The sequence below is a fragment of the Homo sapiens genome, chromosome 9, assembly GCF_000001405.40.
Source record: "Homo sapiens chromosome 9, GRCh38.p14 Primary Assembly".
Lineage (NCBI taxonomy): Eukaryota > Metazoa > Chordata > Mammalia > Primates > Hominidae > Homo > Homo sapiens.
In genome coordinates, this window is record NC_000009.12 from 69,799,462 (window position 1) to 69,813,585 (window position 14,124).

Below are 14,124 nucleotides of genomic sequence, written 5' to 3' on the forward strand. Positions count from 1 at the left end.
GATAGATAGATATTTCTAATCAAGTCTGAAAGACAGAAAAATAATATGAAAAAGATCTGGTAACCCATATAATACATAATCGAAAATTCTAATATATAAATAGCCCACATAATGTGAGGAGCGCCTCTGCCCGGCCGCCCCGTCTAGGAAGTGAGGAGCGCCTCTGCCCGGCCACCTTGTCTGGGAAGTGAGGAGCGCCTCTGCCTGGCCGCCACGTCTGGGAAGTGAGGAGTGCCTCTGCCTGGCTGCCCTGTCTGGGAAGTGAGGAGTGCCTCTGCCTGGCCGCCCCATCTGGGATGTGAGGAGCTCCTCTGCCCGGCCGCCACCCCATCTGGGAAGTGACGAGTGCCTCTGCCTGGCCGCTGAGCAATCTTCCAAGTGTGAAGTGACAGCCTTTCTGCAGGTGTACCCAACAGCTCAGAAGAGACAGCGACCATCGAGAACGGGCCATGATGATGACGGCGGTTTTGTTGAAAAGAAAAGGGGGAAATGTGGGGAAAAGAAAAAGTGATCAGATTGTTACTGCGTCTGTGTAGAAAGAAGTAGACATAGGAGACTCCATTTTGTTCTGTACTAAGAAAAATTCTTCTGCCTTGGCATGCTGTTAATCTATAACCTTACCCCCAACCCCGTGCTCTCTGAAACATGTGCTGTGTCAACTCAGGGTTAAATGGATTAAGGGCGGTGCAAGATGGGCTTTGTTAAACAGATGCTTGAAGGCAGCATGCTCGTTAAGAGTCATCACCACTCCCTAATCTCAAGTACCCAGCGACACAAACACTGCAGAAGGCCTCAGGGACCTCTGCCTAGGAAAACCAGAGACCTTTGTTCATGTGTTTATCAGCTGACCTTCTCTCCACTATTATCCTATGACCCTGCCACATCCCCCTCTCCGAGAAACACCCAAGAATGATCAATAAATACTAAAAAAAATAAAAAATAAAAAATAAATAGCCCACATACCAATAAGCAAATGGTAAAGAATGCAATAAATGGTCAAGTATTATTGTCCAAAAAGGAAATCATTTTCAGAAGAGGGAAATGTATTATTATCTAGTTATTATAATTAAAGTATATTTAATTAGTGACTGAAATAGAAATATTGGAAGAAAACAGATAAAGATAAGGAGAGATTGCAGTGTTTAGTGCAGTTCACATTAATGAAGCTGATGGTACAATTAGATTAATCTATTTGTATCCATTCTCAGTGACATCAATGATTTATCAAGTTAATGATATTAGAATAGAAAATTTCCAAGCAAACAAGTGTAATTGGAGCCAGAGCCATGCGTCATATAACTTTTTCTACCTTAAAGGAAGGTGTGGGGAGGAGGTTGTAAGAGGCCTAGGACATAGATTACAATATGAAATCACAAGGGAACGCTCTTGGGTTGTTGTAAAACTTAAGAAACTTCTTGGGAGCTGCAGTCCTCTTGATTCTCCTGCTATTAAACATATGGTTAATGCAAATAATAAATGTTTTGTGAATTCATATTGCTGTATCTGTTCTACTAGTGGTCAGTGTGCTTGGAGGAAGGTTGTGGACTTGGAAATGTAGAGGGAATTTGATCAAAATAGTGGCTCTTATAAACTAGCTGGAGTTTTTAGTAATGATATCAGCCTGCTACTTGGATTATTTTTCTATTATTTTTCTTTGCTTTTTTGCTGCCACCAAGAAGAGTTGAGCTCTCCCAAAGGAGTTAAAAAAGGATAGAAAGTGGCCAGGTGTGGTGGCTCATGCCTGTAATCCCAGCACTTTGGGAGGCGGAGGCAGGCAGATCACTTGAGATCAGGAATTTGAGACCAGCCTGGCCAACATGGTGAAACCTTGTCTCTACTAAAAATACAAAAGTTAGCTGGGCGAGGTTGTATATATCTGTAATCCCAGCTACTCGGGAGGCTGAGGCAGGAGAATCACTTGAAGCTGGGAGGCGGAGATTGCAGTGAGCCGAGATTGCACCACTGCACTCCAGCCTGGGTGACAGAGCAAGACTCCATCTGAAAACAAAACAAAAGAGGATAGAAAGTTAGCAGAAAGTATAAGAAAATGTTAATGTAAACTATTAAAGAAGTGCAATTTTAAGGCCGGGCATGGTGGCTCATGCCTGTAATCCTAGCACTTCAGGACTCCAAGGCGGGCAGATCACCTGAGGTCAGGAATTCGAGACCAGCCTGGCCAATACGATGAAATCCTGTCTCTACTAAAAAATAAAAAAAACTAGCCAGGCGTGGTGGCGCATGCCTATAATCTCAGCTACTTGGGAGGCTGAGGCAGGAGGATGGCTTGAACCCAAGAGGTGGAAGGTGCAATGAGCGGAGATTGCACCACTGCACTCCAGCCTGGGCAACAAAGCCAGACTCCGTTTAAAAAAAAAATGCAATTTTAAGTAGTAGTTCTTCACCAAATTGTCAAAGTTTTTTCTTTTTTGCTTTTCTTTTTTTCTTTTAATATTAAGACTCAAAATTTTTGTCTACGCAGATCCACCTCACCCTAACTTCTTCCTTACTGGTGGAATACCCATGCAACTCTGCTCTACGGTAAAATCCAGGTTGGTTTAAGGCTTAGATAGAAAGAATTCCTGTTAATCCCAGTCCTCTTGTCAGAGATTGGTTTAGGAGAGGGAATGTCACCCATTTCCAGCCAATGAGACCTGAAGGAAGTCTGCTCTCAAGCTTCTGAGAAAGATTTCTTCATACTAGGAAGGAAACACCAGAAAAGATGATTCATTTTTACCTCTGGTTATGGCCTTCCTGGGATATACAGCCCAGAGCTGTTCAGCTGTCCTGTAAGTCTGAGGGGAGTCAGCCTCAGGGCAAAGTACAAAAAGAAAAATGACACCATCAAGCCATGGAATCAAGCAATTCTGAAAAGTGTTCCATTGGTCCTTTGTTAAATGCGATGTTTTTTTCCCTTATTAACTGATTTCTATTAGAGTTTTCTGTTCCTTTTAGCTGAATGCAATCTGATATACCAGATATAAGGACTTTAGTTCACTGCTGATGGAAAATAAATTCTTTTAATATTTCTGGAGGGAAATTTAATGAAATATATAAAAAACATTTTAATCTAACAAAGTCACTTTAGTAATTTTAATAATTATATATTAGCTTCAAATTTACATATGTAATATGGCTTATAATAGTGAAAAGGGTGAAATATAAATTTCCAATAATAAGGGACAATGATTAAATAGATTTTTGGCTATTCAAAGAATGCCACACTGCCTTTTACCAACAAATAAAAAATTACTTAAAATTAAGTGCCCCCCTGGTTACACCCATAATGATTATATGTGCATGTAAGAAAACCTATTACCAGAACGAAAATGTGGTATATACCTTCCATTTATCTATTTATCAAACATTCTTTGGGGGTCAGCAATGTGCCAGGCATTCTACTAGGTGTTAGAGATGCAAAGGGTCAGTGAAAAGTAAGTCATTGGAGTCACAGAGATTACATTTTAGAGCGGAAGACAGTAACCAAGCACGCAAATAAATAAAAAGGTAGTTTTGGTTTTCTAATAAAGGAAAAAAATAGGGTTGTGTAATGGAAAGTAAATGGGTTGGTGGGTGGGGATGGCTTTAAACTGGGTAGTCAGGAAGGTACTTTCTGGGATGGGACATGATAAATGAGAAGAGCTACACAAGTAAAGAGTGAAGAGAAGACTGGTCAAGGAGGTGGAACAGCAGAAACAAGAGTTCTAATGTGAAAAAGAACTCAACATGCTATAGGAGCAGAAATGATGCCAGTATGGCTGGTGTAGAGTGATAGAGGGGAAGGGTACTGCTAAATGGTGTTGGAAAAGTGGGCAGGATCCCCTTCATGTGTAATGGCTTATAAGCCTCATAAGGAGTTGAGGTTTTATTGGAAGAGTTATAGGAAGCTGTTGGATTATTTTAAGCTGGGAGATAACACGAGGTGACTATCACCCTTTGGCTGCTGTGAGGAGAATGATTGTAGAAGCAGGGAGAACGATTTAGAGTCAATAGCCAGATGGGAGATGGCAGTAATTTGGAGAAAAGTGGACCAAATTATTTTAGAGGTAGAATTAATAGGTTTCTCTAATGGACTCTATGTTGGTAATGTGGTGATGAGATGAATAGCTAAACAAGTGAAAACCTGAAAATAGGTAGTTACATACGTTAAGTTTGGAGTTCAGGGATAAAGTCTACACTGAATATAATATCCAGAAGATGGTGCAAACATTGAGTGACTTCTCCAACCGAGTCACCTATTGCTCTACAGAGTCTTTCTCAGATGAATAACGAAGGGCCAATTTTTATTTTTCCTCATTGTCCCCATTCAGACCTTTTTTTATTACTCTGCTTTTCCCCACAAAGCCCCTGATCTATCCTGGAGAAGTCACATCCTTCAGATTCTGTGTATCACTAGTCCTTGGGATGCTTTTGATGAAGTGTTTATAAGACAAACAAACCTTTCTTTTAGCACAACTTTGGCATATTATTGTGTTCATAGTTGGCAACTAGTAGGAAAGAAAGGCCAAAGAAAGGGGAAAAAGACCTTCTTAAATATGATGTTCATAACAGCCAGGCACGGGTGGCTCATGCTTGTAATCCCAGCACTTTGGGAGGCTGAGGTGGGAGGATCACTTGAGCCCAGGAGTTCGAGACCAGCCTAGGCAACATAGTGAGGCCCAATCTTTAATTAAACAAACAAACAACAACAACAAAAAATATATACATATATATATATATTGCTCATAACAAAGAGAATTTGGGGAAATTAGTATACTCAGGCACTGCTGGAGGGAGTATAGATTCTTTCAGCCTTTCTGGAAGGCTATGTGCTATAGAGATCAAAAGTCATAAAGATGTGCTTAGTTTTTGATCCATAAATTCAGTTTCTACCTATTTTCATATAGAGATAATTATGCATGCATGAAAACATTTAGTTAGAAGGATGTTAATGGCAGCATTCATTATAATAATGAAGACTAGGAAATAATAAATATCTAACAATAGGGGATATTTTTTGGACTACTCAAACAATGAAATGTTCTCCTGTCATAAAGTATTATATTTGGAATATATAATGACAGGGAAAATTTTAACTTATTGTTGAGCAAAACATATTGTTGAGCAAAAAAATTACAAAATGGTGTATATATTGTCATTACATAACAATAATAAAGATTATTAGTACAAATATTAACAGTGGTGTTGGTATTCTTTGTGACCTTCCTTCCTTCTTAGCTTCTTTCCTTCCTTCCCTATTTTCTACATTGTACAAAGATAAGATGAAAAAATCTTGAGAAAAAAAGAAAATTGTTGTTATTGAATGGTATATGCAAATTGATGGAATTGGAATTGGGAGCTCTATTATGGATAATGGGATGAATGTTAGCAACTGCGATTAATATCAAATAGGAAATTGTCAATGCAGAGAGAGAGAAGTACACATTCATAGTTAGCAAATAGTTGTTTTAGCTAATGTTCCCTCTGAAAATATTTGTTTGTTTATTTAGGTCTCATATTTTTGAAAATGAACATTTTGATTGTGTCAAATTCCCACTTAAGAGTCAAATGTGACTGTGGTCCTTGTGCAGTGCGAATGAAGGAGAACAACATCCAGAAGGCAATGTCTTGGGGCTAAGCTAAGCCTATGATGTCGCTTGCCCTCCTTAGTGCAAGAGAACCTAGAAATAAGCGGTCTTAAGAAGGCTCCCCTTAGGGCACAGCTGTTTGCTTCAGTCTTTTCTTCCATTAATTCCTCTGCCTGTAGAAGACGAAAGCTTGCATTTCAAATTAGATGTGAACAATATGCCGTGTTGCAGAGGCCTGTGAGATGCATCACCTTGCTCTGTGCCTTCCTGCCTCCTTGCCTTTTCTAATGCTGCTCTCTCTGCCTAGAATGCCCTTTCTCCCCTAAATGATACCTGGCCCCAGGTTAACAAATACTACCATAAGCAGTCATCTATTTATAAATTTTACCCATGGACAGAAGAAAAAGTCTCTATATTCATCCCCAAAATATATAATCCCTACCTATCCGAACTGAAAAGTGGAAAGTGCATGACCATAGTATTGACCAATGCCAGTTGTAAGCTCAGAATGGTGGAAACACTGGACACATACTCCTTGGGTAGATCAAACAGGGTTTATTTATCTAAAGGATATAAAAGGAAATCAACACAGTTGTGATGTACATTATAAAGATCAACAACATCATTCAGGACAGATAGAGGTTTATTCTTCTAAAATCTTCACTACAGGGTGCATAGTTACAGATGATAACATCTGAGTAAAGGCCATAATCGGTCCTTCTGGGGACTAAATGGTCTTTCTCTTTACATCTATACTTACACCCAATCCTGGATTAGTTCTCTAAGTAGGCTAGTCTGAGTATGTTCTAGGGACCACCTCATTGGAGCCAGGAGCACCCATTAAACTTAGCTTTATACCATGGAAGTAATTGAAGACCAACCAAATGAGAACAAGCAAAAGCTGTTTAGAACAAGCTTGCTGTAGCAAAGGAGTCAGCCACTGTCAGTTGCATTTTGGCAGAGAACTCAAAGGCAGGCACAGGACTGCAAAAAAGGGAAGACTTCAAGCATGCTTGGATTGGAGGGTTTTGGCATGGGGAAGCTGTAGACATGCTGGGGACAAAAATTACGAAACTGTCAGCCAATTATCAAGTTGATGATGGCAAACCCCAAAATTGGAGCTCAGCCCAGGGGGGTTCTTGGTTTCACTCAGGAAGGAATTGAAAAGTAAGCTGACAGTGAAAGAAAGCAAATGTACTAGAGCCACAGTGAACAGAAAATGACTGCTCCATAGACAGAGCAGGGCTACCCTATAGGCAGAGTGGCCCAGAGTAGCACTTGTGGATTGGTGGCTATTTATACCCGCTCTTAATTATGTGCTAAAAAGGGATAGGTTATTCACAAACTGTCTGGAAAAGAGGTGAGGAGTTCCCAGAACCACATAAGGTAACTTCTGGGTCATTGCCACAGCCTCATTTATAAACTGTCACGGTGCTAGTGGGAGTGTCTTATGCAAACACATTATAACTCTGGGTATGGGAAAGCTGTAGGCATACTGGGGACAAAAATTAGGGAAACTCAGTTAATCAAGTTGATGCAGGTGAACCCCAAAATTGGGGCTTAGCCCAGGAGGATTCTTGGTTTCACTGAGGAAAGAATTCAAGAGTGAGCTGATAGTGAAAGAAGGCAAATTTATTAAAGCAACAGTGTACTCTAGCTAGTTTTGGCCAGTTTCTTTGCTGCGTCCTGTTTTAATCACCAGGGTGGCGACCAGTGCTTGGAAAACAAGTTGATCTGCTGATCTCCCACCTCATTTCCCCCTCACAGATTATATACTCCTCCTTAATCTTTACGGGTTATTGAAGGGTGGAGTCCATCTCCTCAAACTGCTTCCTGCTGATTTTACGAGTGTAGGCCCGGCCTAGCATTGGAGAAGTAAAAAAATCTCTAGAGGCTGAGTGTGGTGGCTCATGCCTGTAATCCCAGCAGTTTGGGAGGCCAAGGCGGGCAGATCACTTAATGCCAGGAGTTTGAGACCAGCCTGGCCAACATGGTGAAACCCTGTCTCTACTACAAGTATAATAATTAGCTGGGCATGGTGGCATGTGCCTGTAATCCCAGCTACTCAGGAGGCTGAGGCAGGAGAATCTTTTGAACCCAGGAAGCAGAGGTTGCAGTGAGCCAACATCACACCATTGCACTCCAGCCTGGGCGACAGAGTGAGATTCTGTCTCAAAAAAAACCCGAAAAATCTCTAGATGCCTGAATTAAGGGACCCAAAGGCAGGATTTCTTATTTTTTCAGTTAGAAGATGGGATGGGTTGGAAGTCCTGTGCCAATATCACACTCACATGGAATTGTTGTAATCTAGAAAGCACAAACTTTACAGAGGTTAAATAAGCCAGGGCCAAAGATTAGTAATAAGATAGCTAGTAAAGGGCCTAGGAAAGGTTAAACAAATCCACATTACACTTGGTAGGTATCCTTTGACAGAGTCCCAGATGTTTTGAGTGGTGGGGTTACTAAAGTTATTAAAATTATGTAACTAGGTAGTCTGTTGGTAAATCTTTTGAATTTGCAATTCAACTAACCCTGAATTGTTAACATAAGAACAGGTGTGGTTTATTACTGCACATACTCCTCCTTGCCATGCTACTTATCTATGTGTTTGTGAAACAACAAACAACAACTTTTTTTTTTTTTGACGGAGTCTTGCACTGTCTCCCAGGCTGGAGTGCAGTGGCGTGATCTCGGCTCACTGCAAGCTCTGCCTCCCAGGTTCACACCATTCTCCTGCCTCAGCCTCCTGAGTAGCTGGGACTACAGGCGCCCATCACCACGTCCGGCTAATTTTTTGTATTTTTAGTAGAGACGGGGTCTCACTGTGTTAGCCAGGATGGTCTCGATCTCCTGACCTGGTGATCTGCCCACCTCGGCCTCCCAAAGTGCTGCGATTACAGGTATGAGCCACCGTGCCCGGCCTGCGAAACAACAGCTTTAGGTCTTCTAGGGGTTCATAAGTATAGGTCATGGTGTCCTCCTCCTGTGTCTCCAGAGACTCATAAGAAACAGGTTTAATCCTGGGCAGGTGTATCCAGCTAGTGACTACCTTAAGTTTCACAACAGTGGGGTACTCAACAACATCTGATAGGGGCCCTTCCATTTCAGTTGTAATTGATCCTCAGAGGATCCTTCTTTCCAAGTTTTTAGTAAGACTAAGTCTTCTGGTTGAACAGGGATGCTATTCTTTTCCTTTGTGGAGAATAACAATACTTTATTTCCATAATCTTGAAGGGCCTTTTGAACCTGACCTGAGTTGATAATATGGGTGAGTATTCTATGTGTCTCCTCATAAAACAGGAGGTCTGAAGTTAAAAAGGGCCTCCCATACATCGTTTCAAATGAGCTAAGTTTTAATGTTCCCTTTGGAGCCATGCTTATGTGCAAGAGAACTATAGGTAGGAGAGAAACACAGGCCTCCAAGGTCTCCTGACGGAGCTTCGTTAATATCCTTTTTGAAACAGGGTTGGCTTTTTCTACTTTATATGAGGATTGAGGCCTCCATGAGGAGTGAAGATGATAGGTAATGCCTGAGGCTGAGGAAGCCTAAGGCTGGGTCACCCTAGCTGTGAATGAAGGTTTGTTATTACTTTGCAAACTTTTTGGTAATCCAAACCTTGGAATGATTGAAGTAAGAAATTGCACACTTCCAGTGCTTTTTCTGTCCTTGTAGGGAAAGTTTCTATCTACCTGGTGAATATGTCTACAAGTGCTAGCAAATGGCATCTGGGTGAAATCTATTTGCAAGTCTTCCCTAGGTTATATTTCTTGGTGTTAACGTAGGTTTGAGCAGGGGTTGGGGCATGGGGTGGCTTTCTGGGCTATTATGAGCACAGAGTTCACAGGCCCTGGAGATCCTTTTGCAGCCTGGAATAGTCCCTTCCCCAGGAATATTTGGGAAACCAATTTGAATAGAGAATCCCATCCCAAATGTGAGGAGTTGTGGAAAAGCTTAATTATTTTTCATTGCTCAGCCTGCCACATCAAGGGTTACCGGGGGCTCCTCTGTGGAGATGGTAAGGTATCCTGTGGGAGCTGAAGAGAACCTTGGGCCCTGTCAGCCTCTGTTGTCTTGGCCGTTATGGGTTTGGGTGGCCCAGGCTCTCTTGGGAGCCTGGGGTAGTCTCTTTTCCAGTGCTACTCTTGATTACAGAAGGTGTGCTGATTCTGGCCCAAGGGCCAGCAAGTTGAGGGCTCTCATCTGGGCATCCCAGATGCTGATCTCATTACACTTAGTCGGAATGGGTAACCTTCAGGTGGCAAGGGGCTTGAGGCAGCCACGGACAATTGTGCTTTTTGGTTATTTCTTTTGTTTTTCTCCGCCTCTTCTACCCTGTCTCTATTGTAAACTCCAAAGGCCATCTTTACGTGTTGGCTCATAGGGGTTTGAGGTCCCATTTTTGCCTTTTGCAGCTTCCTCCTAATGTCACGAGCAAGCTGAGTAATAAGATTTATACCCAGGAGATGGCGCCCTTCCGGGGAGTCTGGGTCTGCATTTGTATATTTCCTGAGGGCCTCAACCAAACAGCCCTAAAACAGAGCAGGATTTTTGTCCTTCCCCTGAGTTACTTCTCTAACCTTTTCATGATTGAGTGGCTTAACCACATACTTTTTCATACCTTCAATTAAACGAGCTACCATGTGATTTAGCATTTGAGGTCTTGGGAAGCCCTCTGGTAATACCACAGAAGGTCCAGATCTGGAACTGGATCTCCCCTCACACGATAAATGGCATGGCCTTAGTTATGAGCAGCCACTCCATCTGCATATTCACAGGCAGTTCCCAGAACCCTTTTTCTCCTCTAAAGTAGAGTACAGGTGGACAATAATATTTGTAACTCATGTCAAGTTAAGTCAAAGGACATGGTCAACTTAACAAACTATTCTACAAACTTCCCTGAGTCCTCTGAAAACTCACCAAATTTCTCTTTGCGTAAAGTCAAATCAGACTTAGAAAAAGGCACATATACTGGTTGTCCCCACATCTCCATCAGCTACCTCTCAAAATGGACACAGGCTCAGTTTTAGGGGCTGATATGGGGACCTACTCTTGGTGGTATTGGTTGGACTTACTTCCTTGGGCAGCAGTGGTTACAGGCTGGGTTTAGTTGGATAAGGGAGAAGGGTGTTTGGTAACCTTGGATGGGAGCCACTTCAGAATTGGGGAACTGAGGAGGCTCGGCACTGGGGAGGAGGCACGGGCCTTCTGAGAGGAGTCACTGGGAGGGCATTATCTGGGATATCTGGTGTGGCTTCTTTGTGCCTGGAAGTGAGATGAGCCACACGAATCCTACAGTTGTCCCTTAAGTCCGGATCCTGGTAAGGGGCCATAAAAGCCGGTACATACACGCCTGTAATCCCAGCACTTCGGGAGGCCGAGGCGGGCGGATCACGAGGTCAGGAGATTGAGACTATCCTGGCTAACAGGGTGAAACCCCGTCTCTACTGAAAATACAAAAAATTAGCCGGGCGTGGTAGCGGGCGCCTGTAGTCCCAGCTACTCGTGAGGCTGAGGCAGGAGAATGGCGTGAACACGGGAGGTGGAGCTTGCAGTGAGCCGAGATCGCGCCACTGCACTCCAGCCTGGGCGACAGAGCGAGACTCCGTCTCAAAAAAAAAAAAAAAGAAAGCCGGTACATAAAGAACCTCTCCCTACTTTCCTTCCTTTTTTACAGAATAAGTCCAGTTATAAATAATATCATTTTAGGCCAGATTTCTTGGTCTCCCAATTTGTATTGAACCCAAATGGTGTTGCAATAGAAAAAGAGTTTCTTTCACTTTGTGCTGTCTGATTGGAATTTGTTCCAATTGCCTAAAAGGCATCCTAGCAGCGAGTCCCTTGGGATGCTTGGTTGTCGTCCCCATGTTTAGCAAGGATCTGTACTAGATGCAGAAACTTTTCTAAGTCTAGCGAGAGCCCACTTATTTTCCCTTTCAGATTCCCACCTCCCTTTTCCTCAAGAAAGGTCAGTAGGGGAATTTTCACCAATTCTTGCAAAGGGGGCATAAATACAGTTAGCAGGGCATGACAAAAGTGAATTTTGAGATATGACTGGGCAGTGGAGTGGTGACTGCTTCTACCAGTAAGTGGACTATGACAAAAGAGGTGTTTTAACAAGGAAAATATAGAAGGAGAGGGTAATGGGATTCTCATAGTCTGAATTCTACAAAAAGCAAAGAAAGTGTTTACTGAAATGAGCAGTATGACAAAGGCAAACAACGTTAAAAGGGTGCCTACTGCCAAAAAACCTGGAGCATTGGCCAACGAGGGTCCCTTTCCCAAATGCCAAAAACCCTGGGGCATGTGAGGGTTGGCCAACAGTGAACCACAAAGACCCAAGACCTAACATAACTGGGGCCACAGAACAATGTGACTCTGGTGTTCCACAATCAGTACAATGCGAAAACCTCTCAAAATAAACAATTGTTCCCATAGCCAAAGCAAAGACCACAAATGCGATAATGAAATTGGTGTAAAAGTAAAATGGCTGGCCGTTAGAGACGCAAAAGAGAAAGGTCTGAGAGAAAGAGCAACAAAAACATGCCAGTCATGCTCCCTTCTGGGCCACCTAAATGACAGGGGATAACAAATTATCAAGCCAGAGGTCCTGTTTCCACTTCCTCATTCACCCAGAAAGGTCGATATCAATGGGGAACAAAAGAGAGACTCAGCCATCCGTGGAAGCCAGTTGGTGCCGATCAGTTTTAATTTGGGTTATGGGTGAAGATTTCCCTCAGGTTCCCTCAGCCTGTTAGTCACCAGGAAACATAATGGCTCTGAAAGGATGCTTTGGCTACTGCTGCACAGCTCCATAGCATTAAAGCCCTATAGACTTACAGCTCCCACCTGTAATGAGTCCTTGTCTTGTTTGTCTTGTTTGTATTGTTTGTTCCTTCATCCCTTCATGGTCACTAGGCTGATGCAGGTGTACCCCCAAATTGAGGCTTCACCTGGGAAGGTTCTTGGCTTTTCTCAGGAAAGAATTCAAGAGTAAGCCAACAGGGAAAGAAAGCAAGTTTATTAGAGAAACAGTGTACACGTAAATGCCTGCGCCATAGACACAGCAGGGCTACCCTATAGTTAGAGTGGACCAGACTAGCACTTGTGAATTCCTGGTTAACTGTACTTATACCCACTCTTAATTGTATGTTAAATAAAGGGCGAATTATTTACAAACTTTCTGGAAAAGGGACGACAAGTTCCAAGAACCATATAAGGCAACTTCTGGTTCATTACCATGGCATCATTTGTAAACTGTCAAAGCACTGGTGGGAGTGTCTTATGCAAATGTGTTATAGTTCCTAGTCCTGGCAGTTTTGGGTCAGTTTCTTTGCTACATCTTGTTTTATCAGCAGGGTCATGACTGGTGCTTAGAGGACAAGTCCTGCTAATCTCCTACCTCAAAGTCCTGGCCATTTGGGGTTGATTATTCTAGGAACCATCGTTTGGCTTTCAAGACTGTCAATGGAGATAGTAGTCTGACTTTCCACAAGTCTGACTTATAGCAGGCTGGCTTCCTGGGCTGGTTGAGTTCCAGGGCCGGTTGTTACAGGCTGTGGGTCAGAGTTCTCCTTTTATGTGTGGTCTGGTCATTTTTCATTTGTATATTCAATCTCTCAATACAACACAAAAAATGATTACAAGGGGCAATACAATACAGTACAGTAAACCTAGGTGTGAACAGTCCTCATTTATCACCTTTGGTCTCTCCAGACTACTGGATTCTGTTCTGGTCCAAGTATACATACTCTTAAATTTAACACTGCAGAGCCAGAATAGGGTCAGTTTCCTGGTAGCCTCAGAGACTCATGGTAAGAAACCCTTAGGTCAGCTATACAGCTTATCCTTCAGTTCAAAAAGGAACATGGGCAGGAAATGAAAGGCAAACAGAAGTGACAACTGTTTTTTCTCCCAAACCACCTCATGGCCATCGTGTTTTATCTAGAAACCTTAATGAAATTACTGTGTGAATCTTTGAAACTGCTTTTTATTACTCTCAGATTTAGGTGATTTAGGACTATATCACTCAAATAAAACTATTTGTGGAGCCATAGTGATAAGGTGCACAACTTGCTGAAGGGCTTGATGACAATAAATTCTGACAGTCAAATTGACCTTGGACAGGACGCCACATGCAGGTGCTTAGAAACTTTCTGGGAATTGTGGAGGCACTGCTACATTCCATGTGTGGGAGTTTAGATTAGAAAAAAGCAAAAGGCACTTGAAGGTAAATGAACTAACAGTTCTGCTTTGGGTCTTCTTTGAACAGGAAGAGAGATTGATTGTCAACTACCAAACTTATTTTTGTACATACATTTAAAAATGTAGCACTTTGATGGCTCTCAACAAAGAGTAGTAAGCAAAAGTAATGAAACTTTGGCAGTGTTTTCTTACTACTAATTTAGAAACATTTCTATTTGCATTATCAGAGACCATATTGCTTTTTTTTCTCTGAGCTGTCTGAGATGTTGTACAAATCCCATGTCTCAAATAATTTCAAATGAGATTGAGAAAAACTAATTTCAACTCAGTCTAATAGAATAAGCATTTGTTGATGTC

At 42.2% G+C, this 14,124-nt stretch overlaps 1 annotated feature.

Moving 5' to 3' along the window:
* Nucleotides 11,952–12,246: an enhancer, noted in NCBI's record as "tiled region #12610; K562 Activating DNase matched - State 5:Enh". NCBI's record gives its function as "activates a minimal TATA promoter and a strong SV40 promoter by Sharpr-MPRA in K562 cells {active_cell/tissue: K562}" and the evidence as "EXISTENCE:reporter gene assay evidence [ECO:0000049][PMID:27701403]".